At 43.9% G+C, this 27,262-nt stretch overlaps 1 protein-coding gene and 1 pseudogene across 6 annotated transcripts in view, besides 7 other annotated features; both read left to right on the forward strand.

Moving 5' to 3' along the window:
• Window positions 1-27,262, forward strand: part of AK4 (adenylate kinase 4) — an 84,594-nt gene that overhangs the window by 611 nt on the left and 56,721 nt on the right. For 2 of the 6 annotated variants that reach the window (NM_203464.3, NM_001005353.3), the window contains exon 2: window positions 116-390. The exons of 1 other annotated variant lie outside the window; for it this stretch is intronic. In NM_203464.3, the coding sequence (NP_982289.1) occupies window positions 246-390 (145 nt within the window). In that variant the 5' untranslated portion in view covers window positions 116-245. Of the gene's footprint in view, window positions 1-40; window positions 391-831; window positions 979-17,749; window positions 17,858-27,262 lie in introns of those variants that run through there. 3 more of the 6 variants (NM_013410.4, NM_001330616.2, XM_047449174.1) reach the window with 3 other exon arrangements.
• Window positions 338-637: a silencer, noted in NCBI's record as "silent region_966". NCBI's record gives its function as "represses an Ori minimal core promoter by ATAC-STARR-seq in GM12878 lymphoblastoid cells {active_cell/tissue: GM12878}" and the evidence as "EXISTENCE:reporter gene assay evidence [ECO:0000049][PMID:35858748]".
• Window positions 338-1,289: a biological region, named in NCBI's record as "OCT4-NANOG-H3K27ac hESC enhancer GRCh37_chr1:65614416-65615134".
• Window positions 571-1,289: an enhancer, noted in NCBI's record as "OCT4-NANOG-H3K27ac hESC enhancer chr1:65614416-65615134 (GRCh37/hg19 assembly coordinates)". NCBI's record gives its function as "activates a minimal SCP1, AML or CMV promoter by ChIP-STARR-seq in naive H9 embryonic stem cells {active_cell/tissue: H9 hESC(naive)}" and the evidence as "EXISTENCE:reporter gene assay evidence [ECO:0000049][PMID:30033119]".
• Window positions 698-977: a silencer, noted in NCBI's record as "silent region_967". NCBI's record gives its function as "represses an Ori minimal core promoter by ATAC-STARR-seq in GM12878 lymphoblastoid cells {active_cell/tissue: GM12878}" and the evidence as "EXISTENCE:reporter gene assay evidence [ECO:0000049][PMID:35858748]".
• Window positions 1,290-2,008: an enhancer, noted in NCBI's record as "OCT4-NANOG-H3K27ac hESC enhancer chr1:65615135-65615853 (GRCh37/hg19 assembly coordinates)". NCBI's record gives its function as "activates a minimal SCP1, AML or CMV promoter by ChIP-STARR-seq in naive and primed H9 embryonic stem cells {active_cell/tissue: H9 hESC(naive and primed)}" and the evidence as "EXISTENCE:reporter gene assay evidence [ECO:0000049][PMID:30033119]".
• Window positions 3,599-3,648: an enhancer, noted in NCBI's record as "active region_1141". NCBI's record gives its function as "activates an Ori minimal core promoter by ATAC-STARR-seq in GM12878 lymphoblastoid cells {active_cell/tissue: GM12878}" and the evidence as "EXISTENCE:reporter gene assay evidence [ECO:0000049][PMID:35858748]".
• Window positions 5,362-5,863: an enhancer, noted in NCBI's record as "NANOG hESC enhancer chr1:65619207-65619708 (GRCh37/hg19 assembly coordinates)". NCBI's record gives its function as "activates a minimal SCP1, AML or CMV promoter by ChIP-STARR-seq in naive H9 embryonic stem cells {active_cell/tissue: H9 hESC(naive)}" and the evidence as "EXISTENCE:reporter gene assay evidence [ECO:0000049][PMID:30033119]".
• RPS29P7 (ribosomal protein S29 pseudogene 7) lies at window positions 6,284-6,568 on the forward strand (annotated as a pseudogene).

A 27,262-nucleotide genomic window follows, 5' to 3' on the forward strand; every position in this document is an offset into this window, starting at 1 on the left:
GAGGAGGTGGAGAAGGGCGGGGAGGTGTAGCGTGGCGCTCAGTCCGCCTGCTACTCGGTCCCGGCGCTGGGCTGAGGGGAGGGGTTGTCTTAAAAGTCTCTCCTTCCCCCTGTAGGGGCGGCCGGCGAGTCCCAGTGAGAGCGGAGGGTGCCAGAGGTAGGGGGCCGAGAAACAAAGTTCCCGGGGCTTCCTCCGGGGCCGCGGTCGGGGCTGCGCGTTTGACCGCCCCCCTCCTCGCGAAGGCAATGGCTTCCAAACTCCTGCGCGCGGTCATCCTCGGGCCGCCCGGCTCGGGCAAGGGCACCGTGTGCCAGAGGATCGCCCAGAACTTTGGTCTCCAGCATCTCTCCAGCGGCCACTTCTTGCGGGAGAACATCAAGGCCAGCACCGGTGAGGGGCTGCGGGGACGAGGGCCGGGGGCGAGCCGCGTTGGGCTGGGGTGAGGCCCTGGAGGGACTGGGGCTCCCGGATCACGGCGCCCTTCCCCCGCCCGCGTGTGGTCGTGCAGGCTCGTACGTGCCGGGGCGCATGCAGCTGGCGGCCGCGCGGCTTAACCGCGCCTGGGGAGGAGGCCGAGGCTCCAGGGGCGGCCGGTGGGAGGTGCCCACGGCTCCTCTCCACCGCTCCTCCTGTCGCGAGGAATAGCCCGAGCCACCCGGCCGAGGGAACGAGAACTAGGCAGGGAAAACCCGGAGCTTCCGTCTCACGCTGCCCTCCTTAAGGCAGAGCCGTCCCCGTACCCCTTAGCCCTGGCCCCCTCCCCCGAGTCCCTAGAGAGCCGCGCGCCCCCTCCCGCGGGAGCCCAGAGGCGGAGCGCCGCCCACCTGTGGCAGTCGGGCGGGGCCGCGCGCCGGGGAACCTGTGGCGCCGGGGGGCTCGCAGCCTCGCGCCTCTCCAGCCCCTCCACGCAGCCTCGGGCCTCGGGGCAGAGCCCTGGGTGGCTTTGAAAGGCCTGTCTGTTCGTTGTCGCCTTCTAAGGTAAACTCTCCCCAGCAACTCCCCCCCCTCCCGAAGCCGCCGGGCCTGGCCGTCAGGAGACTCGGAGGAGACTCGTTCTGATAAATTACATTTTGTAATGCAGCTTTCCTGGAAATGGCTTCTTGAGCTGCCTCCCTTGGCATGAGATGCCTCCTTTGGCTGGCGTGGTGAACTTGGGGATATATAGATCGCCTGATTTCTTAGTCTGACGGGGTTGAGTGCGTCCCTTTCCCCCTCTCCTCCCACTCCACGTTCACACCAGTTCCGAAAGAATTGGCGTTAAAAGGCGAGAGGTAGCGGTTGTGCTGCTGCGAGGCTCTTAACCCTTCTGGGATGGAGATGCTGGTAATTAGCAACTCCTTTATGAAAAGTTGTTCTTCCCAGCAGGGGTCCTTTACTGTCGATGTACTTCTCAAGGATGTCCGGGCTGGTTATTGCCCATCATGGACTAATTATCCGGAGATCTGCATTTCAGAAGCACAGACTGGCTTGAAAAGGAAGGTGGAGGACAGTACCAGAAAACAAAAGGAAAGCTTAAAAGCAAGGAATTAAGAAGTATCTCCAGAATTGTATTCCTTATCTCTTAAGCAGATTGAAAAAGCGGACTTTTACAGGAAACTCTTCCCCCACCCCCATGTCTCAAAAGGAAGAATTATGTGTACCAGATTGCACTTGAGTTTTCTGTTGTGGGTATTGTTACCTCAAGTGCGCCTATTTTGATTTTAATACATTCACATGCATTTTATTCTTGAAATGCTGCGGTTTGAGGGGAGAGCGGCCTGAGGGGGAAGGCTGGCTCTCATCCTAATGGTTTTGTGTTTAGGTTGGGCTTCTTCATGGTAGGGGCATGGAGTCAGTGAAGGAAGACAGTGAGAAGAGATGAGCCCATTCCATAATTCTCTGTACCTGACTAGGAGACTTGTTTCCTTCTATGAGCCCATTCCATAATTCTCTGTACCTTACTTGGTGACTTGTTTCCTTCTGGAATGAAGGGCTTCACACTGTCCATCCTGGGACTGGACTCATAGCCCTTTCCATGTTTAAAGAGAGTGTGATGGGAAGTAGCTTATTTCTGCACTTTCTTAGGGGCTTTGAAAATTTTCCATTTGCTCTTTTCCCTTGTTCTCTCTTTCTCTCTCTCTCTCTTTTTTTTTTTTAACTTTCCTGTGTTCTAAATTTTAGTTTTCATTCTCTTTCAAATGCCTTCATTTCCTCCCCAGTGATCCTCCCTGGAGTGAGAAATGACTATGAAATGTTTAGATTTTCTTTTTTCTGTTGGGAATCAAGCAGCTTTTTGCATGAGCCAATTAAAAAAAAAACTTTATCAAAGAAAGAAGAAAAATAAAGGACAGCAATTTGTTTTGAAAGTGGCTTGTTTCTAGTGAACTTTCGGGTTATCGGATTATTTTTCCCTCTCAGAAGGTCTGAGAATCTTATAGGCTTACTGCCTGGTAAATAAAACATTCCTTTCCACGGTATTTATTTTTCTGTCTGTTACCTGCTGTTTGCTTTTAGCTGATTTCCTGGTGGGAAACACAACCACCCTTCTGTATGTACCCTTTATAATGGAAGGTTTGAAGGAGACGATGAAGCACAACAAAAACCCAGGAAATAGAACCGTGTAGGAATTTGAATTGGAAAGTAGCTCCGGCCATCTGCTCCAGCCTGGATTTGGGCACACTCTTGTCTACATGGCTTTCCTCCTCCTGCAGCCTGGTGAAAAGCTGCTCTTTCAGGAAAGGGCCATTCTGATGTCATTGCTTCTTGGAAGTCTTCCCTCACCTGCTCTGGCAGAATTCATCTCTTTCCTCTGCACATAACTTTTTTTTTTTGAGACGAGTCTCGTTCTGTCACCCACACCGGAGTTCAGTGGCGCTATCTCGGCTCGCTGCAACCTCTGCCTCCCGGGTTCAAGCGATTCTCTTGCTTCAGCCTCCCAAGTAGCTGGGATTACAGGCGTCTGCCACCACGCCCGGCTAATTTTTGTATTTTTCGTAGAGATAGGGTTTCACCATCTCTACGAAGGTTCGAGGTCAGGCTGGTCGCGAACTCGGGACCTTAGATGATCCACCCGTCTTGGCCTCCCAAAGTGCTGGGATTACAAATGTGAGCCACCGCACCTGACCTCCTCTCCTCTGCACATGTCTTATTGATTCTAATGTTGCAGTCATATATCATGCAGTGTAAAAATGCCTGTCTCACACCCAGTAAGATATCTGCTGAGTGGCTGCTGTGCGTCAATGTTCTAGGTGCTGGGGGCAATAGCATTAAGATAATCTTGTGCCTCTTTTATTATTATTTATAGATAGGGGTTTTGCTTTAGTGCCCAGGCTGGTCTCAAACTCTTGGCTCAGTCTCCCAAAATGTTGGGATTACAGGTGTGAGCCACTGCACCTGGCCCATTCTTGGGCCTTTTGTTCTTTCTGCCTATACCATTGTACAATTTCCACTCTGAAACTTGGAGGACAGGGATCAGGCAAAGTACCTAATGTATAAAAGGAGCTTACCGAGTCTGTATTAAAGGCCTGGGTCACAAATTCTAGACAGTACATCTTAGTCCAGAAGTCAAGCAACCTATAGCATAGAGACCATTTTGTTTAATTAGCTCTGATTTATGGTAAAAGTTTGTGCTTAATATGGATCTGAGATTAGCTTCATGGTAGCTGTCACCCATTGGCCCTTCCTACACTGCCTAGAGTGGTACAGGCTGAGGCTTATCAGATACCTCATTTGAAGAGTCACACCCATATCTTTGGCTCAGATTTTCTTTAGCACACTGCAAGAGTAAATAGAAGGGAGAGTTCTCTTAGATTGCCAGGAGTTGGGTCTTACCCTCTGTTGTAAGAAATATTAGCTTTTCTCTGTGTATGTATGGGTATGCACATGTATGTATGAGTATACACACACACACAGGGACTGGCACTCTATTGAGTGAGTCCTACTACAAACTCTGAACAAATTCTGATATTTAATGATAGATTCTTTTATTGGGTCATATCTAAAGGATATGCAAATCCTGTTTTAAAGGTTGGAGAAATAGTGGTATTTTTTAAAACCACATTATACTGGATCTACTATCTCAAGTGCAGGAAAACTGGCACATCTCCATTTGGAAGCATCTTGGAGTTAATTGAGATAAAAGATGTTAAGGAACAAACCTGTTTCTGCACTTGCTATCTCTCTCTCTCTCTCTCTCTCTCTCTCTCTCTCTCTCTCTCTCTATATATATATATATATATATATATTTTTTTTTTTTTTTTTTTTTTTTTTTTTTTTTTTTGAGCCGGAGTCTCACTCTGTCACCCAGGCCGGAGTGCAGTGGCACAGTCTCGGCTCACTGCAGCCTCCGCCTCCCAGGTTCAAGCGATTCTTCTGCCTCAGCCTCCCGAGTAGCTGGGACTACAGGCACACACCACCACGTGTGGCTATTTTTGTATTTTTGGTGGAGATGGGGTTTCACCATTTGGCCAGGCTGGTCTTGAACTCCTGACCTCATGATCTGCCTGCCTCGGCCTCCCAAAGTGCTGGGATTACAGGCGTGAGCCACCGCACCTGGCCTCTGCTTCTCAATATTAACTGCAGCTCTTGCTGGAGTTTTGCTGATGGGACTAGCATTTCAAGTTAGTCTATGGGCCCAGCCTCTTTTTGAAAAGATGGCCTAGTTCAGAGGGCTCAGGGTTCTTTTTGGTGCTCATTAAGTATAAATGTGTGTCTTATGTAAGAGGGAAAACTTCTGAGAACTGGAAGATAGAAACATTGTATTAGAGAGACTTGGGAGCCAGAGTTCAACAATGTATCTAAAACAGGTTTCAATAGTTATCCTTTTTATAGATCATACAGAGTCTTGGCTTATTACAGGGTTTCTAGAGTATGTTCTATTCCATTTCCCCCCCTAGCTGGGTGAGACTCAGGATGTAGCACAGGTCAAGCAAGGGTCTGACTGGTTTTGAGACCTCTCCAGTCCAAAGGTCCACTCCATATCCACTTATTGTTGCTTTTTTGGTTTCTTTGAGGATTTTCACACATATTTGAAGAACACTATTTGTGACTTGAATAAGGCATTCCATGACAGTAAGTCTGCCTTAGCCACATGTACATCTGAATCTTTGCACATTCTTCCAGTGGGATTTTTTTTCTTCTTCTTTTTGAGACATAGTTTCACTCTGTGACCTAGGCTGGAGTGCAGTGGCATGAACACGGCTTACTGTGGCCTTGATTTCCCGGGCTCAAGTGATTGTCTTACCTCAGCCCCTTAAGTAGCTGGGGCTACAGGCATGCACCACCATGCCCGGATAATTTCGTATTTTTTTGGTAGAGTTAGGGTTTCTACGTGTTGCCCAGGCTGGTCTTGAACCCCTTAGTTCAGGCAGTCTGCCCGCCTCGGCCTCCCAAAATGCTGAGATTACAGGTGTGAGTCACCATGCCTGGCCAGGATCATTTTTTAGAAGTAGTTTTTTCTGATCAAAGTCATGCCTTGTACAAAATTTAGAAAATATAAAACGGTAGAAGAAATGAAAGCAGCAAGTAAAAGTTACCCTTAATTCCTTAAGGGTAATTTAAGCAAATAAATTAAAGGTGACTGTCTTAGGTTGTGTGATTAGGGAAGGCCTCTCCAGGAGGTGAATGTCCTCATTCATACCGTAAACAATGAGCTTGTGATGATTAGGAACAGGTTGTTCCAGGAAGAAGGAACAGCAAGTGCAAAGGCCCTAAGGTGGGAATTAGCATAGCGTGTCTGAGGAACAGAAAGAAGTGGCAGTATGTTTGGAGCCTAGCAAGTAGAAGGGATGTGGAAGTAGGTCAGGTCAGAGAGACGAGCAGGTGCCAGATCAGGTAGAGCCTGGGGGATCCTGGTAAGGATTGGATTTTATTCCAAGGGCACTGGAAAGCCAAGGAAGGGTTTTCCATAGGACAATGACATGAAAAGATTTACTTTCTAAAAGTTGATCTTTTGCCTGCTGTGTGGAGAGGTGACTCAGGTGAGCAAGAGGGAGACCAGTATGGATGAGGAGAGTGGCCTGTGGTTTGAACTTGTTGGTGGCAAAGGAGGAGAGAAATAAAGGGATTTGGGATATATATGAAGGCAGAGCTGACTGGATATAATGAATTGGTTGTGAGAGGTGATGGAGAGAAAGAAGTCTACAATGAATCCTAGGGTTTTGCCCTGAGCGCCTGCCTGGGTGAATGTGCTATAGGGTTGAATGAACTAGAATGTGTCTAACCAATCTTTTGTGGAACATTTGGGTTATTTGCATACTTTGCTGATTAAGAATGCCCTTGGAAGAGCACATGCATGGGCTAGCTCCTTCCTTTTATCTTGTTGCACTCCTGACAGCAAGATGGGTCACCAGCAGCTGTACTGGAGCCACTGCTGAAAATTCAGCCAGGGTTCTCGCTCTTGTCGCGTCTGTTCAAACCGGCACTGTCTGATCCAGAAATGTGGCCTCAATACGTGCTGCCAGTGTTTCCGTCAGTACGCGAACGATATCAGTTTTATTAAGTTGGACTAAATGATCCTCCTTCAAAGGATTATCCAAGGCATCTACCCAATACAAAACCACGATAGTTCTTTGTACATAAAATAAACATTCAAACAAAGAACGCTCTTACAAATGTCATTGTGTACAAATCACTGGACAGATATACTTTCTCTGGGATAGGTTTCTAGGAATGAAACTACTGGCCAAAATAGAACTTAAATCATAGGGAGAATTTTTTTTTTTTTTTAAGACGTAGTCTTGCTCTTGTCATCCAGGCTGGAGTGCAGTGGCGCTATTTTGGCTCACTGCAACCTCTGCCTCCCAGGTTCAAGCAATTCTCCTGACTCAGCTTCCCAAGTAGCTGGGATTACAGGCGCCCACCACCATGCCCAGCTAATTTTTGTATTTTTAATAGAGACGGGGTTTCACCATGTTGGCCAGGCTGGTCTCGAACTCCTGACCTAGGTGATCCACCTGCCTCGGCCTCCCAAAGTGCTGGGATTACAGGTGTGAGCCACCACACCCGGCCGACATAGGGAGCGTTTTAAACGTAGCTTACAAATATTCACTCAAGTTCTTGGTAGTTTATAGGTGCTACTTTATTTGTGTACTTTTTGGCTTAATAAATGTTTCATTTAGGCCAGGAGTTCGAGACCAGCCTGGCCAACATGGCAAAATTCTGGCTCTACTAAAAATACAAAAATTAGCTGGGCTTGGTGGCGTGTGCCTATAGTCCCAGCTACTTAAGAGGCTGAGGCAGGACAATCGCTTGAATCCAGGAGGCAGAGGTTGCAGTGAGCTGAGATTGCGCCACTGTACTCCATCCTGGACGGCAGAGCAAGACTCTGTCTCAGAAAGTAAATAAAAAAATGAAAAATATTTTATTTAGGTATGGATATATGTAGCATACATATAAACTGATTTTCTGATTATAGAAATAATATGTATAAGTTAGCAAAAGTTTATAAAGATGAAAACAATCACTTGTAATTTACCAACTGGAAGGAAAAGTCACTGCTAATACTTTTTTTTTTTTTTTAGATGGAGTTTTGCTTTAGATGGAGTCTAGCCTTGCTCTGTCGCCTAGGCTAGAGTGCAGTGGCGTGTTCTCGGCTCTTGGCTCGCTGCAACCTCCACCTCCCGGGTTCAAGTGATTCTCCTGCCTCAGCCTCCCAAGTAGCTGGGATTATAGGCACTTGCCACCATGCCTGGCTTAATTTTTTGTATTTTTAGTAGAGACGGTTTCACCGTATTGGCCAGGCTGGTCTCGAACTCCTGACCTCAAGTGATCTGCCCGCCTTGGCTTCCCAAAGTGCTGGGATTACAGGCATGAGCCACCTTCCACACACACACACATAGATTTTGAGTTACATTATTATTGCATTGTATTATAGTATTACTGTTTTGAAAATTGCTTTAACAATGTGTCATCTAGTATTTTCCAATTTTGTTAAATACTGTTTTTTAATGTGAGTTAAGTACTCATGTATAATTCCAATATTCAAATATAATTTGTTATTCCATTTTTACTTTTGAAAAGGTAAAAAGGTACATGCAGATAGTAAAATTTTCAAATAATACACTAGGAATAGAGTGGAAAGTTTCATGCCTATCCCTGACTCTTGGTTCCCCAGTTTCTCTCCACAGGGGTATCTGCTTTTAACTTTTTTTGGATGTGTATCCAAAGATTTTGTCATATATCTATAGCATTTATGTGTGTATAGCAGTGCCTCTTTTTTTTAATGTACACATTTGTTCTTTGTATTGCACTTAAGAAAAACTTAGCAGTAAAGCTTAGATAGTGGTTTCCATCAGCATGTATCAGTTTACTTTATTCTTTTAAAAAGATATCTGCATTATTTTTTATTGTACAGATATATCATAGTTTATTTAGCCTTTCTCTTACATTTTGGCCTCAGGTCCTTTTTAACACGTTTGAAAATTGAGAACCAAAGAAGCTTTGTTTATGTGGGTTACATATATAGATGTTAAATGGATTTGAAATTAAAATTTAGAAAATTTGCCGGGCTCGGTGGCTCATGCCTGTAATCCCAGCACTTTGGGAGGCTGAGGCGGGCAGATCATGAGGTCAGGAGTTTGAGACCAGCCTGACGAACATGGTGAAACCCCGTCTCTACTAAAAATACAAAAATTAGCCGGGCGTGGTGGCACATGCCTGTAATCTCAGCTACTCTGGAGGCTGAGATTTACTTGAGAATTGCTTGAACCCGGGAGGCGGAGGTTGCAGTGAGCCAAGATTGCCCCACTGCACTCCAGCCTGGACGACAGGGCGAGACTGTGTCTCAAAAAAAAAAAAAAAGAAAGAAAATTGAGAAAATTTAAAAATATTAATTCATCAAAATAACAATAATCCACTGTATGTTAACAGATTTCTGTGAAAATTAACTATTTTCCAAAATGAAATCTAATGAGAAAAGTACTGTTATTTTTGCACATTTGCAAATCTTTCTGGCCTAATAGAAGAAAACTTTATTGTCATATCTGGTTCTTCATTCAGTCTTTGGTGCTATGTTGTTTTGGTTAAAGTATTTGAAGAACATCTGGCTTTATACACATGTAATTAAAGGGGAACTCATGGACCCCTGAAAAGGTCTCATGGACTCACAGGAGTCCTGGGACCACAATTTAATCAGTCCCCTGTTGATTGGAATTCAGGTTATTTATAGTCATTCGATATACAGAGCATGCTGCACTGAATGTCCTGGTAAATGTGTCTTTCAACAAATGTTTGAGTGCCAGGCAATCTTGGCTTGTGGGATGCAAAGAGGTGAAACAAGGTCTGTTCCTGAAGGAGCTGCTGTTTTTTGGTGGAGGCAGGCAGTCAGACAGGCAAGCAAACAAGAAGAAAATAACACAATTGGGCTGGGTGTGGTGGTTCATGTTTGTAATCCCAGCACTTTGGGAGGCTGAGGCTGGAGGATTGCTAGAGACCAAGTGTCCAAGACCAGCTTGGATAACGTAGCGAGACCTCATCTTTACTAAAAATAATGTAAGAAAATTAGCTGGGTGTGGTTTTACACACCTGTAGTCTCAGCTACTCGGGAGGTTGAGGTGGGAGGATCACTTGAGCCCAAGAGGTTGAGGTTGAAGTGATCTGTGATCATGCCACTGCACTCCAGCCTGGGCAACAGAGCAAGACCCTGTCTCTGAGAAAAAAAAAAATTAACTGAGGCTGCAAGATGTGCATGCTTACAGAAGAGGCAGCTAACCCAGCATTTAGGAGGAGGTGAGATTTGGGAAGGCTTTTTAGAGGAGGCGATTCCTGAGCTGAGTTTTGACAAATGAGTACAGCTACAAAAAGATGGCATGGTCATTGTCACAGCATACCTGAAACTCCTCTTGTAGAGTTTGTTTATGGTCCACAAGAGGTCCTTGCTTTTATGGCTTGGCCTTACCTTTTCTATTATCATTTTAGTCCGCATCCATCTCTAATGATATTGTCAAAGGAAAGGGTTATCATGCCTGCCCCATATCACCTTTCCAGCCCTCATTGCTTGTGCTTGCCTTTAAGATATACATACACATAGTGGCATTGTAGTATATGCATTTAAACTTCGGCTTTTAACTTCTGGAACTGAAGGATGGCAAACAATCCTAAAACTAGTAAATTGGGCTTCAAGCTGTTAACTATAAATTCACCCATTCTGAAAGGCATGTTGAATTACCTGTTCCCTTCAAAATCTACCAAGTAAATTGTTAAATGGTATTATATTATGCTAGTCTGCTCTTTAACAATCTGTATTGGTGCATATTGTGAGAAGGTTTAAGGAGTTGGAAATTTTGTAAGTTTTTTAGATGATGTACTTTCACAATGGACAATGAATCAGATATTTCAACCATGTATTTTCCTTTAGCAAACTAGATTTTTTTTTTCTTTGAGGCGGAGCCTCAGTCTGTTGCCCAGGCCGAAGTGCAGTGGTGTGATCTTGGCTCACTGCAACCTCTGCCTCCTGGGTTCAAGCGATTCTTGTGCCTCAGCCTCCCGAGTAGCTGGGACTACAGGCTCCTGCCACCATGACCTGCTAAATTTTTTTTTTGCATTTTTAGTGGAGACGGGGTTTCACCATGTTCGCCAGGCTGGTCTTGAACTCCTGACCTCAGGTGATCCACCTGCCTAGGCCTCCCAAAGTGCTGGGATTACAGGTGTGAGCCACTGCACCCGGCCCAAACTAGATTTTTTTTAAAAAAGCATGAGTAGATAATAGAGGCTTTTGGATTACTCTGTGTATTTTACCCCCTCCACTTGATGTTTAAGCTCTCAGGTTGGCCTTTAAGACATAGTACAAAAGGTCTTGTTTGTACAGCTTCATGTAGTTGAATTTAAATGGCTGATGTTATATTTTAACAGTCTCACCTCTAAGTTCTGAGAGTTTTTGTACTAGTTAAACAACAGATCCAGGAGCAAGCATCCCTTACTTAGCCAGACAGATAATACTGAAATAATGCAGAGTCATTCTTGTTTATCATCTAACTTCCAAGAAGCTAGAAATCAACTATTTTCTGATCTTCAGCACCTTCTGTCTGGGCAGCAGTAACCTGTAACCCTGGCATTTTATAATTCTTGTGACTTGGTCATAACCAACATTTGCAGGGGGCGAAGCAACTGCCAGGCCCTGGACTGACTAATGAATGCAAATTATCTCTAATTCCCACACAGATCTCCAGAGCAGTTTTTGTTATATCATTTGCTTTACAAATAAATAAATGGCCTCAGAAAGGTTGAGTAACTAACTTGGTCAGGTACAGTGGCTCACGCCTGTAACCCAGCACTTTGGGAGGCCAAGGCGGATGGATCACTTGAGCCCAGGAGTTAGAGACCAGCCTGGGCAACATGGCAAGACCCTGTCTCTACAAAAAATAAACAGAGTTAGCCAGAGTGGTGGCGCATGCCTGTAATCCCAGCTACTTGGGAGACTGAGGTGGGAGGATTGCCTGAGTCCAGGAGGCTACAGTGAGTCTATAGTGAGGCTACAGTGAGCTGTGTTTGAGCCACTGCACCCCAGTCTGGGCAACAGAGCGAAAACCTTCTCAAAAAGAAAAAAAGTTGGCCGGGCGTGGTGGCTCATGCCTGTAATCCCAGCACTTTGGGAGGCCCAGGCAGGTGGATCACAAGGTCAGGAATTCGAGACCAGCCTGGCCAATATGGTGAAACCCCGTCTCTACTAAAAATACAAAAATTAGCTGGGCATGGTGGTGTGCGCCTGTAGTCCCAGCTACTCGAGAGGCTGAGGTACAAGAATCGCTTGAACCCAGGAGGCGGAGGTTGTAGTGAGCCAAGATCGTGCCACTGCATTCCAGCCTGGGCAACAGCGCCGAGACTATGTCTCCAAAAAAAAAAAAAAAAAAAAAGTTGAGTGACAAATATGTGGCTTCAGAAAGGTTGAGTAACTTGTCCTAAGTCAAACAGCTAGTTAAAGAGAAACTAGCGTTCAAACCTGGGGCTCCATAGCTAGGATTAAACTTCTTCCCATTATGTCGTGCTGACATCTGAGTACTCTAGAAACTAGTGAAATACTCATGTCTTATAAATGCCATGTAGGGACAGTGTGTCTTAGTCTGTTTGTGTGGCTATAACAAAATACCTGAGATCAAGTAATTTATAAACAACAGAAATGTATTTCTCACTGTTCTGGAGGCTGGGAATTCCAAGATGAAGGTGCTGGCAGGTTTGGTGTCTAATAAGGCCTGTTGACTGCTTCCAAGGTTGCACCTTGAACTTTGTATTCTCACATGGCAGAAAGGATGGAGGAGGAAAAGGGCTAAAGGCCACATTAAGCTTCTTTGATTTTATTTTTTCTAATTTTAAAAATTTTCCACTAGAGACAGGGTCTCACTTTATTGGCCAGGCTGGTTTTAAGCTCCTATACTCAAGCAGTTCTCCTGCCTCAGACTCCCAAGGTGATGAAGCCTCTTTTATAAGACACAAGACTTAAAACAAAAACACAAAAACAATAAATTAAGTTTTTTTTTGGAGATGAGGTCTTGCTCTGTTGCTCAGGCTAGAGTGGAGTGGTGCAATATTGGCTCACTGCAGCCTGGAACTCCTGGGCTCAAGCAGTACTCCTGTCTCATCCTCCAGAGTAGCAGGGACTACAGGCGCATGCCACCACACCTGGCTAATTTTTAAATTTTTGGTAGAGACAAGGTCTCACTATATTGCCCAGGCTGGTCTTGCATTTCTGGCCTCAAGTGATCTGCCTGCATCGGCTTCTCAAAATGCTGGAATTACAGGTGTGAGCCACCACACTGCAGGGGAGGAGCCCTTATGACCACTTAAAGGCCCCACCTCTTAATACTATCACATTGGTTATTAAGTTTCAGCATATGAATCTGGGGGGCACGTTCAGACCCTAGCACCATGGATAGCAGGGAACAAGTATGCTGAGGCTCAGAAGGCCCTTTAAGGGTAGGATAGAGGGATGTACTTTTTGTTGTTGTTGTTCTGTCCCTAAAACATTTTTTTTTAAAAAACCTAAAAAAGGAAGCACTGACTTCCTCCTCCCATGATCAAAAGGACCAAAGGGGGTCAAAAATAGAAGCCATTTGGTTGTGAGGAGGTAGAAATTGCTTTTCATCATAATGGTAAGAGTTCAGGAATAATGCCTGAACTTGGTGTTATTTTATTATTCATTTGTCCCATTTGTCACATGTCCCAGCATTAGGTATGGGGAGGCGTGCAAAAAAGTAAAACTTGTTCTCTGTCTTTGAGGTACCGACAGTCTAGGGTTTGAGCTCTGAGTTCTACATTACGTTCCCAGGAGGCATGGCGGTGCGCATGCATGCAGGTAGAGCATGGGGGTCATAGACAAGGCAGCAAGGAGTGCTTTGTTCACATGTACCTTTTGCCTGTAATGCCTTTCACACTTCTTTAATCTCTCGAAGTCCATTTCTACTCTCATTGCTTCCATGAAGCCTTTCCACACCTGTTGCAGCTACAGGTCATTTTCTTCTCTAAAATTCTCTCATACCCATTGGTACCTTTAATTTGTTATTCATTATCTCTTGTAAGATGTTCTATTTCATAATTTCAGTTATTGTCTGTTGCCATTTGAATAGTAATTTTTTTTCATGACGGTTCAGTTCAACTAATGTTTTAATAGGCTATAACGAGAGGAGAGGAGACAGAAAAAAATAAGACACCTCATATACCTTATGCCTTGTACCTGATATCTTCTGGAAGTACTCTAAAGAAAATGAGATAGTACAGTGAGGAAGAGTGGGAAGACTACTTGAGATTGTGGCGTTAGAGGCCTCTTTGAGGAGGTAATATTTAAGCTGAGCTCTGAATAAGGGTAGGAGTCAGGCGTGTGAAGATTTGGTAGCAGGCCGGGCACGGTGGTTCACACCTGTAATCCCAGCACTTTGAGAGGCCGAGGCAGAAGGATTGCTTGAGGCTAGGAGTTTGAGACCAGCCTGGGTAACAGAGTGAGACCCCGTCTCTATAGAAAATAAAAATAAAGTTAGCTGGACGTGGTGGTGCAGGCCTGTAGTCCCAGCTACTGGGAGGCTGAGGTGGATCACTTGTGCCCAGGAGGTGGAGGCTGCAGTGAGCTATGGTCACACCACCGCACTCTAGCCTGGGCGATACAGTGAGAAGTGTCTTAAACAAGAAGATTTGAGGCAGAGGAAGCAGTATGTGGAAAGAGCCTAATATAGGAGTGAACTCTCAGTAAGTGGAGAGGATGCGGGAGGAGGCTTGTATCTTGAGCACTGTAAGTGGGGAGGAGATGGTAGAAGCGGAGGCTGGAAAGGTAGGTATAGGGCCTTGAGGCATGGCCAGGAGTTTGGGCTTCATTGTAACTGGATGAGAATCCATGGAAGGTTTTCAGGTTGTTACTTTTATTTTTTATACGTAACAGCTATACTGAATATAAAATTTGCATACAGTAAAATTTATTCTTTAAAAGTGTACAACTCAGGGCCGGGCGCAGTGGCACACACCTGTAATCCCAGCACTTTGGGAGGCTGAGGCGGGCAGATCACAAGGTCAGGATATTGAGACCATCCCGGCTAACACGGTGAAACACCAACTCTACAAAAAAAAAAAGTGTAAAAATCAGAGGTTTTCCTATATTTTACAGAGTTGTAAAACGATCACCACTATCTAATTTCAGAACATTTTCATTTCTCCAGAAAGAAACCCTATACCCATTAGCAGTCACTCCCCATTTCCCCCTTGCCCCAGCCCTAGGCAGTTACTACTCTAGTTCTGTTTGTATGGATTTGCCTATTCTGGATAGTTGTATGTTAATATATGTGACTTTTTGTGTCTGGCTGCTTAGCATGTTTTCAAGGTTTATCTATATTGTAGTGTGTATCAGTACTTTATTCATTTTTATTGCCAAATAATTTATTGAATGGGTATACCACATTTTGTTTACCCATTCATTCCTTAATGGACACTTGGGCTGTTTCCTGCTATGGGACATTTGTATGTAAGTTTTTGTATGGATGTAAATGTTCATTTCTCTTGGGTATATACCTAAGGATAGCAATACAGGTTCATTTGGTAACTCGACGTTTAATAGTTTGTGGAAGTGCCTGTTATCCAAAGCAGCTGCATCATTTTACCTTCCCACTAGCAATGAATGAAGGTTCGTTTCTTCTCATCGTCAACTTTTACCTTCTGATAAAAGAAAAACTTCAGCCAAGTTTAATTGAGCAATGAATGATTCACGAATCGGGCAGCCCTCAGAATCACAGCAAATTCACAGAGACTCCAGTACAGCCACATGGTGGAAGAAGATTTATAGACAAAAAAAGAGAAATGACTACAGAAATCGGAAGTGAGATACAGAATGGCTGGATTGGTTACAGCTCGGCATTTGCCTTATTTGAACACAGTTTGAACACTCAGCAGTGTATGAGTGGTTGAAGTATGGCCACTGGTATTGGCCAAGACTCAGCTATTGTTATAGTCACATACTCCTAAATTAGGTTTTTAGTCTTATCTACCTAAGCCAGGTTGCAGTTTGTCCACAAGTGTAACCTCCCGATGGGCTCACCTTGCCTGCTGCCTAGACAGAGCGGATTTATCAAGACAGGAATTGCAATGGAGAAAGAGTAATCCACGTAGAGCTGGCTGTACGGGAGACTGGCGTTTTATTATTACTCAAATCAATCTCCTTGAGCATTCAAGGATCAGAGTTTTTAAAGATAATTTGGTGGGTGGGGCTTGGGAAGTGGGGAGTGCTGATTAGTCAGGTTGGAGATGGAATCATAGGGGGTGGAAGTGAGGTTTTCTTGCTGTCTTCTGTCCTTGGGTGGGATGGCAGAACTTGTTGAGCCAGATTATGGGTCTGGGTGGTGTCAGCTGATCCAGTGAGTGCAGGATCTGCAAAATATCTCAAGAACTGATCTTAGATTTTACAGAGTGATGTTATCCCCAGGAGCAATTTGGGGAGGTTTGGACTCTTGGAGCCAGAGGCTGCATGACCCCTAAACTGTAATTTCTAATCTTGTAGCTAATTTGTTAGTCCTGCAAAGGCAGACTGGTCCCCAGGCAAGAAGGGGTCTTTTCGGGAAAGGGCTGTTAATCAATTTTGTTTCAGAGTCAAACCCATGTACTGAATTCCCTCCCAAAGTTAGTTTGGCCTACACCCAGGAATGAACAAGGGCAGCTTCAAGGTTAGAAGCAAGATGGAGTCGGTTAGGTCTGATTTCTTTCACTGTCATAATTTCCTCAGTTATAATTTTGCAAAGGCGGTTTCACAAGGACTCAAATACTGAAGTATGGAGTCCTTCTCAGGTCATATTTAGTTTGCTTTAACCACCCCTCCCTCCCTACCTTTCTCTCTCTTTCAATTTTAGCTACCCTATTGAGTATAAAGTGGTGTTTCATTGTGGCTTTGATTTGTATTTCTCTGAGGACTAATAATGCTGAACTTCTTTTCATATGCTTACTGACCATTTGCATATATCTTCTTTGGAGAAATTCCATTCAAATCCTTTGCCCATTTTAAAATTGGCTCATTTGTCTTCTTGTTGAATTCTTTATATATTCTGGATACAAGTCACTTATCAGATATATGATTTACAAATATTTTCTCCTATCCTGTTTCACTTCCTTGATGGCTCCCTTGGAAGCACAAGTTTTTGATTTTGATGAAGTCCAGATGATCTATTTTTTCTTTTGTTGCTTATGCTTTTGGTGTCATAGCTAAAACACCATTGCCTAATCCACAGTGTAGCCATTGTTTTTAAACATGGGACTGACATCTGACTCACATTTTGAATAGATCACTCAGGCTATTTGGAAACTGGGGTTGAAGGTTCTAGAGTGAAACTAGGGAGAACAGTTAAGAGGCTGTCAGTATTGACAGACAAATGGGTAGACTTTAAACTTATTAAGCACTTGTAAAATCAGTCTATTCCAAAAGCATTTTGTTAATCAGAGTAAGAAATGGTCTCTACCTTCAACAATTTACAAGATAAAAATATACTCAATTATTTTATAAAGCAAATTATATTGAGTGCTATAAAAATAGGAATGAAAACACTTTTTTAAGAACAGTAGAGAGAAGAGTTACTTGTATGAACTTTTATTAAGTTCATTTAAAAAATCTCTAGTGTCTAACATACCTTGCTTAATAGTTGTTTGTTATACCTCTGGACAAAAGAGTTAGAGGGCTTTGGGAAAGATGGCATTAGAACCGAGCCTTGAAGGATGAGTAGCAGGTGGAAACATGTGAAAGCAGGGTATTTTTGATGTAGGTATCATGTCTATGAGTAGACAATTAAAATTAAGGGAACTTTGTGAGGTGAGATGACACACACCACACCTTTTGTCCCAGCTACTTGGGAGGCTGAGGCAGGAGGATCACTTGAGCTCAGGAGTTCAAGGCTGTAGTGCATGATGATCCTGCCTGTGAATAGCCACTGCGTTCCAGTCTAGGCAACACAGGGAGATCCCATGTCTGGAAAAAAAAAAAAAAAGGAACCTTCATTGAAATCTAGAGTTGGAGGAATTATATGTAGAGTTGGAGCTTACATGTAATTCCAGATTGAGTTCCTCAAACTCCTTTTGGTGGCTGTTACTCGTAGCAGAGTATGATGTGGATTGTAGTGGGGGAAAACTGGAGCACAGCCAAGATGGTGCCACAACAGTTTAGATGCGGTCTAGGGTAACAGTAATGGATAAAAGGGGAAGTGAGAGGAGTGGGGGTAGTGATGGCAGTGTCTGATAGGACTGTAGGAGAATGGTGGGCGGGGCAGAGCCAAGTGCTGCCCTTTGAAGGGGTGAACTTGAATGACTGTGCCAGGAAAGTAGTCCCATTTAACACAAGGAGGGCAGTCCAGGCATGAAGAGGATAATGAGCTTAACATACCTGTGAGAAGTTTCAGGTGGAGGTATCTGGTGGCCTTCGGCACAGCAAGTGGTAGGCACAGGGAGTTGGCTATATGCTGTAGAGAAAATATAGGTGGGCTTTAGAGGCAGGCATAACTCTGCCTCCACCTTTTACTGGCTTTGTAAACTTTGGGGGAAGTTAATTAAACTTGATTCCTGAGGGTCAGATGGGGTCGTCTGTGTAAAATGCCTGGCAAGTAGGAGGCTTTTCTCTATTGTTTGTTCCCTTCTTTTCTGGAGTCCTAATGCTTTGATTTCATTTATAATCTTCCTTAGTGAATGTGGTGCTTTGAATGGAAGCACAATCCAGTGGGATTTAAGCTGTGTGTGTGTGTGTGTGTGTGTGTGTGTGTGTGTGTGTGTTTACCACCCAGCAGAGGCTACACTTGCTCACTGTTTGTAAACCCCCTATTAGTTGTGCTGTCCTTCTATTTTCCCTTGGACTTCTCTTGTGTTCAGTCTTGTCCAAACAAAAATATTTGCATTAAAGTTATGTGTGTTCCTCATTTGGAAGACTCCTTGAATCCATAATTGCTTTTTAAATTTTTTTTGAAATAGTCTTGCTTTATCTCCCAGGCTGGAGGAGTACAGTGGTGTGATCAAGGCTCACCGCAGCTTCAACCTCCCAGACTCTAGCAATCCTCCCACCTCCGTTTCCCATGTAGCCAGGACTACAGGTGCTCAACACCACACCACCAATTTTAAAGTTCTTTTGAAGACGGGGGTCTCACTATGTTGCCCAGGCTGGTCTTGAACTCCTGGACTCAAGCAGTTCTCCCACTTTGGCCTCCCACAGTGTTGGGATTACAGATGTGAGCCACTGGGGCTGGCCATACTTGCTTTTTAAGAATTGTGTCATCTTGGCCAGTGCAGTGGCTCACTCCTGTAATCCCAGCACTTTGGAAGGCCAAGGCGGGCGGATCACTTGAGGTCAGGAGTTTGAGACCAGCCTGGCCAACATGGTGAAACCCTGTCTCTACTAAAAATACAAAGATTAGCTAGGTGTGGTGGCTTGTGCCTGTAGTCTCAGCTACTCAGAGGGCTGAGGCAGGAAAATCACTTGAACCTGAAAGGCGGAAGTTGTAGTGAGCCAAGATCACACCACTGCACCTCCAGCCTGGGTGACAGAGAAAGACTCTCTCAAAAAACAAAAATAGAAACAAATTATGTCATTGTTAAGAGGGGCAGTTTTCTAAGTTTTCCTGTAGGTCTAATCGGATGGATTTTTTTTCAGGATCTTTTAATATGCTGGGCTGCTGATATATCTGATTCAACTTCTGGTCTGCTTTGTTTTTTGAACTCAGCTGCTTCTATATTTTTTCTTCTGCATAACTGGTAGAACAGCCAATGTAGTCTACAAGAGAGCTATAAAATATTGATTGCATATATGAGTACAGTTTCCCAGTTTTCTTAAATGGTAACTATAAATACTGTCTCAGGACATAATTTAGTTTTTCCAAAAGGGAGATAGATTTTTTTTTTTTTACACTTGTATTACTTTAGTGGCTTAGTTTAAAAAAAAAAAAAGATCAAGGATCTAGCTTGGAGCACAAAAAAAATGCAAGATCTCCTTTCCGTGGAGCTCAGTTCTGTTTTGGTTTTCTAGGGTTCTTAGAGACTAAACACTATGCATAACAATGAATGTGTTAATTTTAATGATTTGTTCCATTTCTTAATGTCTTAGAATTGGAAGGGATTTTTAGTCATTCTATCCAAGTGGCCATTCTGTGCTGGATCCATTCTATAGCAGCTGACAGCTAACTCGCCTTCTCTGGAAACAGGCTCTTTCATTGCTGGACAGGTCTAATTGTTGGAAGATTTTTTTTCCCCTTATACTGAGATGAAAGCCAGCCCCTTGAAACTGTCATCCATAAACTGTCATCCATTTGTCCAACTTCAGTCTTTTGTTGTCACATAAATTAAATCCGCTAGCTCTTCAGATAATTGAAAATAGTTGCTAGGCAGCACTTCTCTGACTTAAGTTGTCTTTTTTTCCCCAAGAAAAATAGCCCCAGTTCTCTCTACCATTCTTCCCATATCATTTCTAATTCTTTTTCAGCCTTTCACCATGACCCTTTTAAACTGCAATGACCACCACTAACAACTGGTTAAGTGTGGTAGAACCACTGTAGCTTTAGTAGGTTACTCTGCATATTCTTTTTTTTTTTTTTTTTTTGAGACAGAGTTTTGCTCTTGTTGCCCAGGCTGGAGTGCAATGGTGCGACCTCAGCTTATTGCAACTCCGCCTCCCGGGTTCAAGCTATTCTCCTGCCTCAGCCTCCCAAGTAGCTGGGCTTGCAAGCATGTGTCACCATGCCCAGCTAATTTTGTATTTTTAGTAGAGACGAGGTTTCACCATGTTGGTAAGTCTGGTCTTGAACTCCTGACCTCAGGTGATTTACCCGCCTTGGCCTCCCAAAGTGCTGGGATTACAGGTGTGAGCCACTGTGCCTGGCCCTGCATATTCTTTTTGTTTGTTTTTGTAAAGATGAGGGTCTCTGTTATGTTATCTAGGTGGGTCTTGAACTCCTGGCCTCAGGTGATCCTCCCCCGTCAGGCTCCCAAAGTACTGGGATTATAGGCATGAGCCACCACATCTGGCCTGCTCTCCATATTCTATTCTCTTTCTAAATAAACACATTATTTGGAAAGTATTTCTGAACATTGTCCTGCAGGGCACACTGTAGCTCAGCCTCATAAAAGCCTACCTACCATATTTGAGGGTGCATACCAGGGCCGTTTCAGAACGTACCAGCTACTCCAGGTTACTCAAATCTGTAGTCCTGTCCTTTGAGTTGGGCCAGAGATTTTCTCCCTTGGCTTATGCTGAAGAATAAGATGGCTATCTAAAATTAATGGCAGGACAAAAATGCTGGTAGCATGGTGGAAATAACACTTAGCCTAGGCCAGGTGTAGTGGCCCATGGCTGTAATCCCAGCTCTTTGGCAGGCTGAGGTGGGAGGACCACTTGAGGCCAGGACTTCTGAGACCAGCCTGGGCAATGTAGCAAGACCATGTGTCTACAAAAATAAAAACAATTAGCCAGCTGTGGTGGTGTACCCCGGTAGTCCCAGCTACTAGGGCGGATGAGATGGGAGGATTGCTTGAACCTAGGAGTTCAAGGATACAGTGAGCTATGATTGCACCACTGCACTCCAGCCTGGTTGGCAGAATGAGACGCTGTCTCAAAAAAAAAAAAAAAAAGAAAAAGAAAAGAAAAGAAAAAAACACACTTAGCCTAAATATTGCAGGATATCATTCAGCGGTGAACAACTCATGACTGAATTTCCCCAAATTATCTTTATTTAGAGTTTATTTGGATTGTTTCCACATATCTGGATTTTTTAAATTCCAGAACTGTATTGATTTATGCCAAATGACTTAGTGATGCAAAGCTCAGAGAGGTAGTGTGGTTGTATTTAAGAGTGTAGGCTCTGGATTTCGATCCTGATTTGACCACCCTAGCTCTGTGACTTTGGGCAGAGTAGCCAATGTTTTGTGTTTACTCATTTGTAAATGAGAGTAATGATAGAGCTAACACACAGGGTTTTCTAGTATTACACAGATTCATATATATTGACAGCCTGGCCAGGGTGAGGGGAGTGAAGCTGAGGCACTGTCCCCCAGTGAAAAGTTTAAGGGGGCACCAAAAACACTCAGTAATCAAGATAAATAATAGTTTAATGTGATAAAATGAACAACATACCAAAATTTCAAATAAATTCCAGATCTGGCCTGGTCAGGATGAGGGTGAAGTAAGACTAAGTCAGGCATATGTAGGGTCAGGTCCTATTGTTATTTGAACTTTCTGCAGTTTTTTTATCATGGATTTTTTGGGCATGTTTAAAAGTATTGCATTAAAGTATTATTTTTTCTTGGTCATTAGTTGTTCGGTTTTGTGTGTGTGTGTGGCCCCTCACTCACTCCCTCACTCTAGGTGGTGTGAGGCCAGTGTATTGGTATTTGTTATTAGTGATTACTCTAGGGTTAGTTTTGTAGAGGAAATGAATTTTAGTGCCTCATGGAAAGTCCCTCCCACCTCCAGGATATTTTCTGTTAGGTTGCGTCAGAGTCCCAATCCAAATCTCATAACTAAGATCAGTTTTGGCCAGGCGTGGTGGCTCACGCCTGTAATCCCAGCACTTTGGGAGGCGGAGGCGGGCGGATCACGAGGTCAGGAGATTGAGACCACGGTGAAACCCCGTCTACTAAAAATACAAAAAAAGAAAATTACCCAGGTGCGGTGGCGGGCGCCTGTAGTCCCAGCTACTCGGGAGGCTGAGGCAGGAGAATGGCGTGAACCCGGGAGACGGAGCTTGCAGTGAGCCGAGATCGCGCCACTGCACCCCAGTCTGGGTGACAGAGCGAGACTCCGTCTCACACACACACACACACACACAAAAAAAATCAGTTTTAAGGTATTAGAGGATGTCGTTCTTTCTTGTCTTCTGTTAAATGGTGCTTTGAATGTCATGTTTCAAACACTGCTGGAGCTCAGATCCCAGAAAATGAAAAATGTGTGCACTTAGCTTATGCGTAGAGGAGCCTAGCCAAACCAAACAGCACGTTTGAAACTTTGCTTTTCCTTTATGGCTGAGATTGTGAAAGACAGCCACAGATGGTGGCTGAGCTCTAGCTGGAACTGCTGTTAGTCGGCGCGAGATGTTCTAAGTGACGGGAGCCAGGAACTCACTGTGGTGTTTCTAGAAGTTAAATTATGATGATAGGATCTTCCTGTAATACTGGTTCTGTTCCTTGCCTTTAGTTATATCTTGGAAATCTGTCACATGGTTAGTGACTAGTGAAAGGCCAAAAAAATTTGCAGAATCAGCTATTTAAAGCTTTGTTCTTGATAGTTCAAGTGTTACGCAAGGCAAAGCAGCCCTCTGTTAAGGGTTTCAGGCTAGGTGTCTCCTTGTTAGGGTGTCATTCCTGTTGTAATTATTGGTTTGTCTTGTCTTCTTCCTTTTTTTTTTTTTTTTTTTTTGAGACAAGGTCTTGCTTTGCCATCCAGGCTGGAGTGCAGTGGCACGATCATGGCTTACTGCTGCCTCCACCTGTCACTCAAGAGATCTTCCAACCTCAGCCTCCCGAGTAGCTCGGACTACAGGCACATGCCACCATGCTTGGCTAATTTTTTTTTTTTTTTTTTTGTGCAGATAGGGTCTCACTATATTTCCCAGGCTGGTCTGGAAGTTCTGGGCTCGAGCAATCTGCTTGCCTCAACCTCCCAAAGTGCTGGGATTACAGGCATAATTATAGGCCTTTTTTTTTTTTTTGGATATAGACTTATTCTGTGTTTCAGAAATAGTTGCTTTTTTTTTTTTTTTTTTTTTGAGACAGAGTCTCCCTCTGTTGCCTAGCCTGCAGTGAGTGCAGTGGCACAATCTCCGCACTGCAACCTCCACCTCCCTGGTCAAGCGATTCTCCTGCCTCAGCCTCCCTAGTAGCTGGGACTACAGGCGCCCGCCATCATGCCCGGCTAATTTTGTTTTTTCAGTAGAGACGGGGTTTCACTAAATTGGCCGGGCTGGTCTCAAACCCCTGACCTCCTGATCTGCCCACCTCGGCCTCCCAAAGTGATGGGATTACAGGTGTGAGCCACTGTGCCCAGCCAATAGTTGCTCTTAAAAGGTCAGGTAAAACGAATGTTGTTGATCGTTTGCCTAAAATATATAGGGTTGAATAGACTGATAATCACCATAGCAGCTATCATTGGATTTTATTAGGTTTAAATTTATCTGAAGATTGTCATGTCTTTAAGTCGCAAAGAAGTGGAATCTAATTATATACTTAGGGCTAGGCATGGTGGCTCATGCCTATAATCCCAGCACTTTGGGAGGCTGAAGTGGGTGGATCACTTGAGGTCAGGAGTTTTAGACCAGCCTGGCCAGTATGGTGAAACCCTAGCTCTAGTAAAAATAAAAAATTAGCATGGTGGCACATGCCTATAATCCCCGCTACTCGGGAGGCTGAGGCTTGAGAATTGCTTGAACCCAGGCGCAGAGGTTAAAGTAAGCCAAGATTGTGTCACTGCACTCCAACCTGAGCAACAGAGAGAGACTCCATCTCAAGTATATATATATATATATATATATATATATATATATATATATTTAAACTCATTACACTTCCCAAATATATATATATTTGGAATGAGTTTAAAACGTAAGCTTTACGTTTTTTAAAACGTAACTTTTGTTTGTTGACTGATGCCAGACGTTGCTGCCTTGGTGAAGTAGCTCTACTGCACCAAGTTAAAAAAGTTAATCGTCTTTAAAGACTGTAGGTATCTTCTGGTTTAGTGTTAAATAAAAAGAAAAAAGGGAGGGGAGATTCTTGTCTCGAATATGTCACCTTCTTTGTACCAGTTTTTAGAGAGCAGCTGTGGCAGCTGCTGAATTATATATGCCTGCTTTGTTTTCCTCCTTTTATTTGGCGGTGGAGAAAGTGTGACAATTTTAAAGTGACTCTAAAATTAGTATATCTGGTGGAGCATTCAATTTCATGAATGTGCTGTTTGGAATAGCAGTATGGAATCAAATAAGATGCAGAGACTTGGGTATAGAATAAGCTTACGAATGGAAATCAGGGGCCTGATGCACTACAGGCGGTTTGATTTATGACGGAAACATCCTCAGATATCCAGGAACTCATATATTGGAATAGAGACAACTGTGGGAATAGATTGTCCTACCCAGAAAGCAAAATCTGGCAGAGTTTGAGGTTTCTTATTGGGTAATTTTATCAGCTCGTTCTTAGATTAATTAGTAGAATAAGACTTCCAGAGTTGCAAGATGAAATGCGATGCTTTCTTCTCTTCTTCTTCGCTATTTCTACTTCTGGGCCATCTTGGCCAGCAAGAGATTTTTTTTTTTTTTTTTTTTTTTTTGATACGAACTCTCGCTCTGTTGCCCAGGCTGGAGTGCAATGACATGATCTGTGCTCACTGCAACCTCCACTTTCCGAGTTCAAGCGATTCTCCTGTCTCAACCTCTCAGGTAGCTGGGATTGCAGGCATGTGCCACCAAGCCTGGCTAATTTTCTGCATTTTTAGTGGAGACAGGGTTTCACCACGTTGGCTAGGCTGGTCTTGAATGCCTGACCTCAAGTGATCCACCTGACTTGGCCTCCCAAAGTGCTGGGATTGCAGGCGTGAGTCACTGCGCCCGGCCTAGCAAGAGATTTTTGAACCACAAGTCTTGGTCGTCAGTATTGAATCATTATGGTGTGTGGCATGGTAGTGGCTGCACCATGTTGGAGTAAATGTGTTCTCATGGTGGGGGATATTAGTGACCCTGGGTAACAGTCCATGGCACTTGGCTTGCACCACAGAGTTAACATACAGCAGATCAGCTGTCCCTGTCCTCCAGCTTTATATACCGAATTAGAAAGACTTGGGCCCTCATCCTTTACTCAGTGGCTTCCCGGCACTCCACACCACATCTCTAATACTGGGTATTTTCTCTGGTCACCTCTTCCTCAGATTGCATACTTCCCTGTAATTTTTCACTTCTGCGTTTCAGTCTTTCCTTGGAAAGGCTGCCCTTTCTGTATGACTTCATCCCATGTTGGACCCGACCCTCCTTCTTTCCTTCTCCCAAAGCACTACTCATACCTGTAATCCCAGCACTGTGGGAGGCCAAGGTGGGCAGATCGCTTGTGCTCAGGAGTTCGAGCCTGGGCGGCATGGTGGAACCTCATCTCTACAAAATACAAAAATAATTAGCCAGGCGTGGTAGCGCACGCCTGTAGCCACAGCTGCTTAGGAGACTGAGGTGGCAGGATCCCCTAAACCCGGGAAGCTGAGGATGCAGTGAGGCATAATTGTGCCACTGTACTCCAGTCTGGGTGACAAAGGGAGACCCTGTCTCAAAAAAAAAAAAATAGACTACTTAGCTGAGGTGGTTGTATTAAGGTTTGGGGTGATGGGGATTAGAGTCTGGCACAAGGAAGTTGACATGGCATGTTAGACACCGGTGTCCTAAAAACCTATCAGCCATTCCCCACACACCCCTTCAGCCACTGCCTGCCCCTCCCCTGGCTTAGGTTCAGCTCACTGATTTCTTGCTCTTTTCCCTTCTGGAGAGTCTGCTCTTTTTCTGTTCCTCAGCTTTCAATCCTCCAATACCAGAAGGATTTGGCTTTCTAATCCAGAATAGTTTCCCTCTTCACCCTCAACCCCCCAAATAAACCCTAGCCTTACCTTTATTGATCCAAAAACTCATTAGTTTTTCCTGAATGAAGGGCCCAGAGCAAAGCATAGGCAGATGTTTTGACACTCTAGTTGTTTTTTTTTTAACCTGATTAAATTTTTAGATGAAGTTTATTTTCCCCCAAGTCTCTCTAAGAATACAAGGAACTCGTTTTCTTAATTCAGAGACTGAGTTTTCTTAATTTTCTTTCTTAAATTCAGAGACCGAATTTCCCTTTGGCAAAGACAGATCCTCGAGTGTCAGGACTTATTATTATTTTTTTCTTGGCTACAATTTGCCTTCTTTTTTCTTTTAACATACCTCATTTACTCACTTAATTTAAAAAATACTGTTGGGATCCTTTGCTCCCTGAGCCTTTGTTTAAGTCACTGAGCTCAACAAGACCTGCCCTTGAGGTGTTCTCAGTTCACAAGGGGAAAGGGGAAAGGGACAGATGGTTGAACAAAGAATTACGGTGTGAGAGAAATTGCTTGAGGAAGTGAGCAAAGGCTTTGGACACAGGGTCTAGGGAGCTACTTGCTGTAGGGCATGTGTTAAGAGTTCAGGCTTTGGAACCACATTGACTGGGAAGCCAGCCAGGCAAGTTACTCAAACACTTTCTATTTCTTCAACCACAAACCAAGAATAATAATGGTACTACTTCATACGGTTGTTGTAAGAATTAATTGAGATAATACGTACAAGGGAGTATAGAAAGACTTGACCCAATATTTGCTTATTTATTTTTTCTTTTTAAAATTTTTATGGATATCTATTTTTAATGTGCTCCATGGTAGGAATTAGCTTAATCCTGCAATTAAGTGAAACACATTTTAAGAATGTATAATATTTTCTCTTTTTGTGTGCCACTTTTTATTTTAAACAACCAAAATAGTGGTCATGACCTTCATTTGACAACCCCTGGTCCAGTACTTCCTAAGTGTTTCATTACTGTTGCCACTGGTATCGTTGTTCTTGCTGGCTGTTGAAGGATGATTGTGTGTTGGCCCGCTCAGTGGACTGCTTGTCCTTGCTGATTGCTGAGGAGGTCCTGTCAGAAGAGTGTCCGCATCAGCTCTCCCTGTTCCCGTTTCCCTTCCGGAGGTTGCTGAGCAGCACACATTTTTGGAGCCCTTGCTGTAGTTCTCCAACAGGGCATTGCCAGAGTTACTACAGAGAGAGAGAGGGAAGACTCTCATGGGCAGCAGTAGCAATCCATCCTGTGTGAGCAGATGGCACTG

The sequence above is a fragment of the Homo sapiens genome, chromosome 1 (assembly GCF_000001405.40).
Source record: "Homo sapiens chromosome 1, GRCh38.p14 Primary Assembly".
NCBI classification, from domain to species: domain Eukaryota; kingdom Metazoa; phylum Chordata; class Mammalia; order Primates; family Hominidae; genus Homo; species Homo sapiens.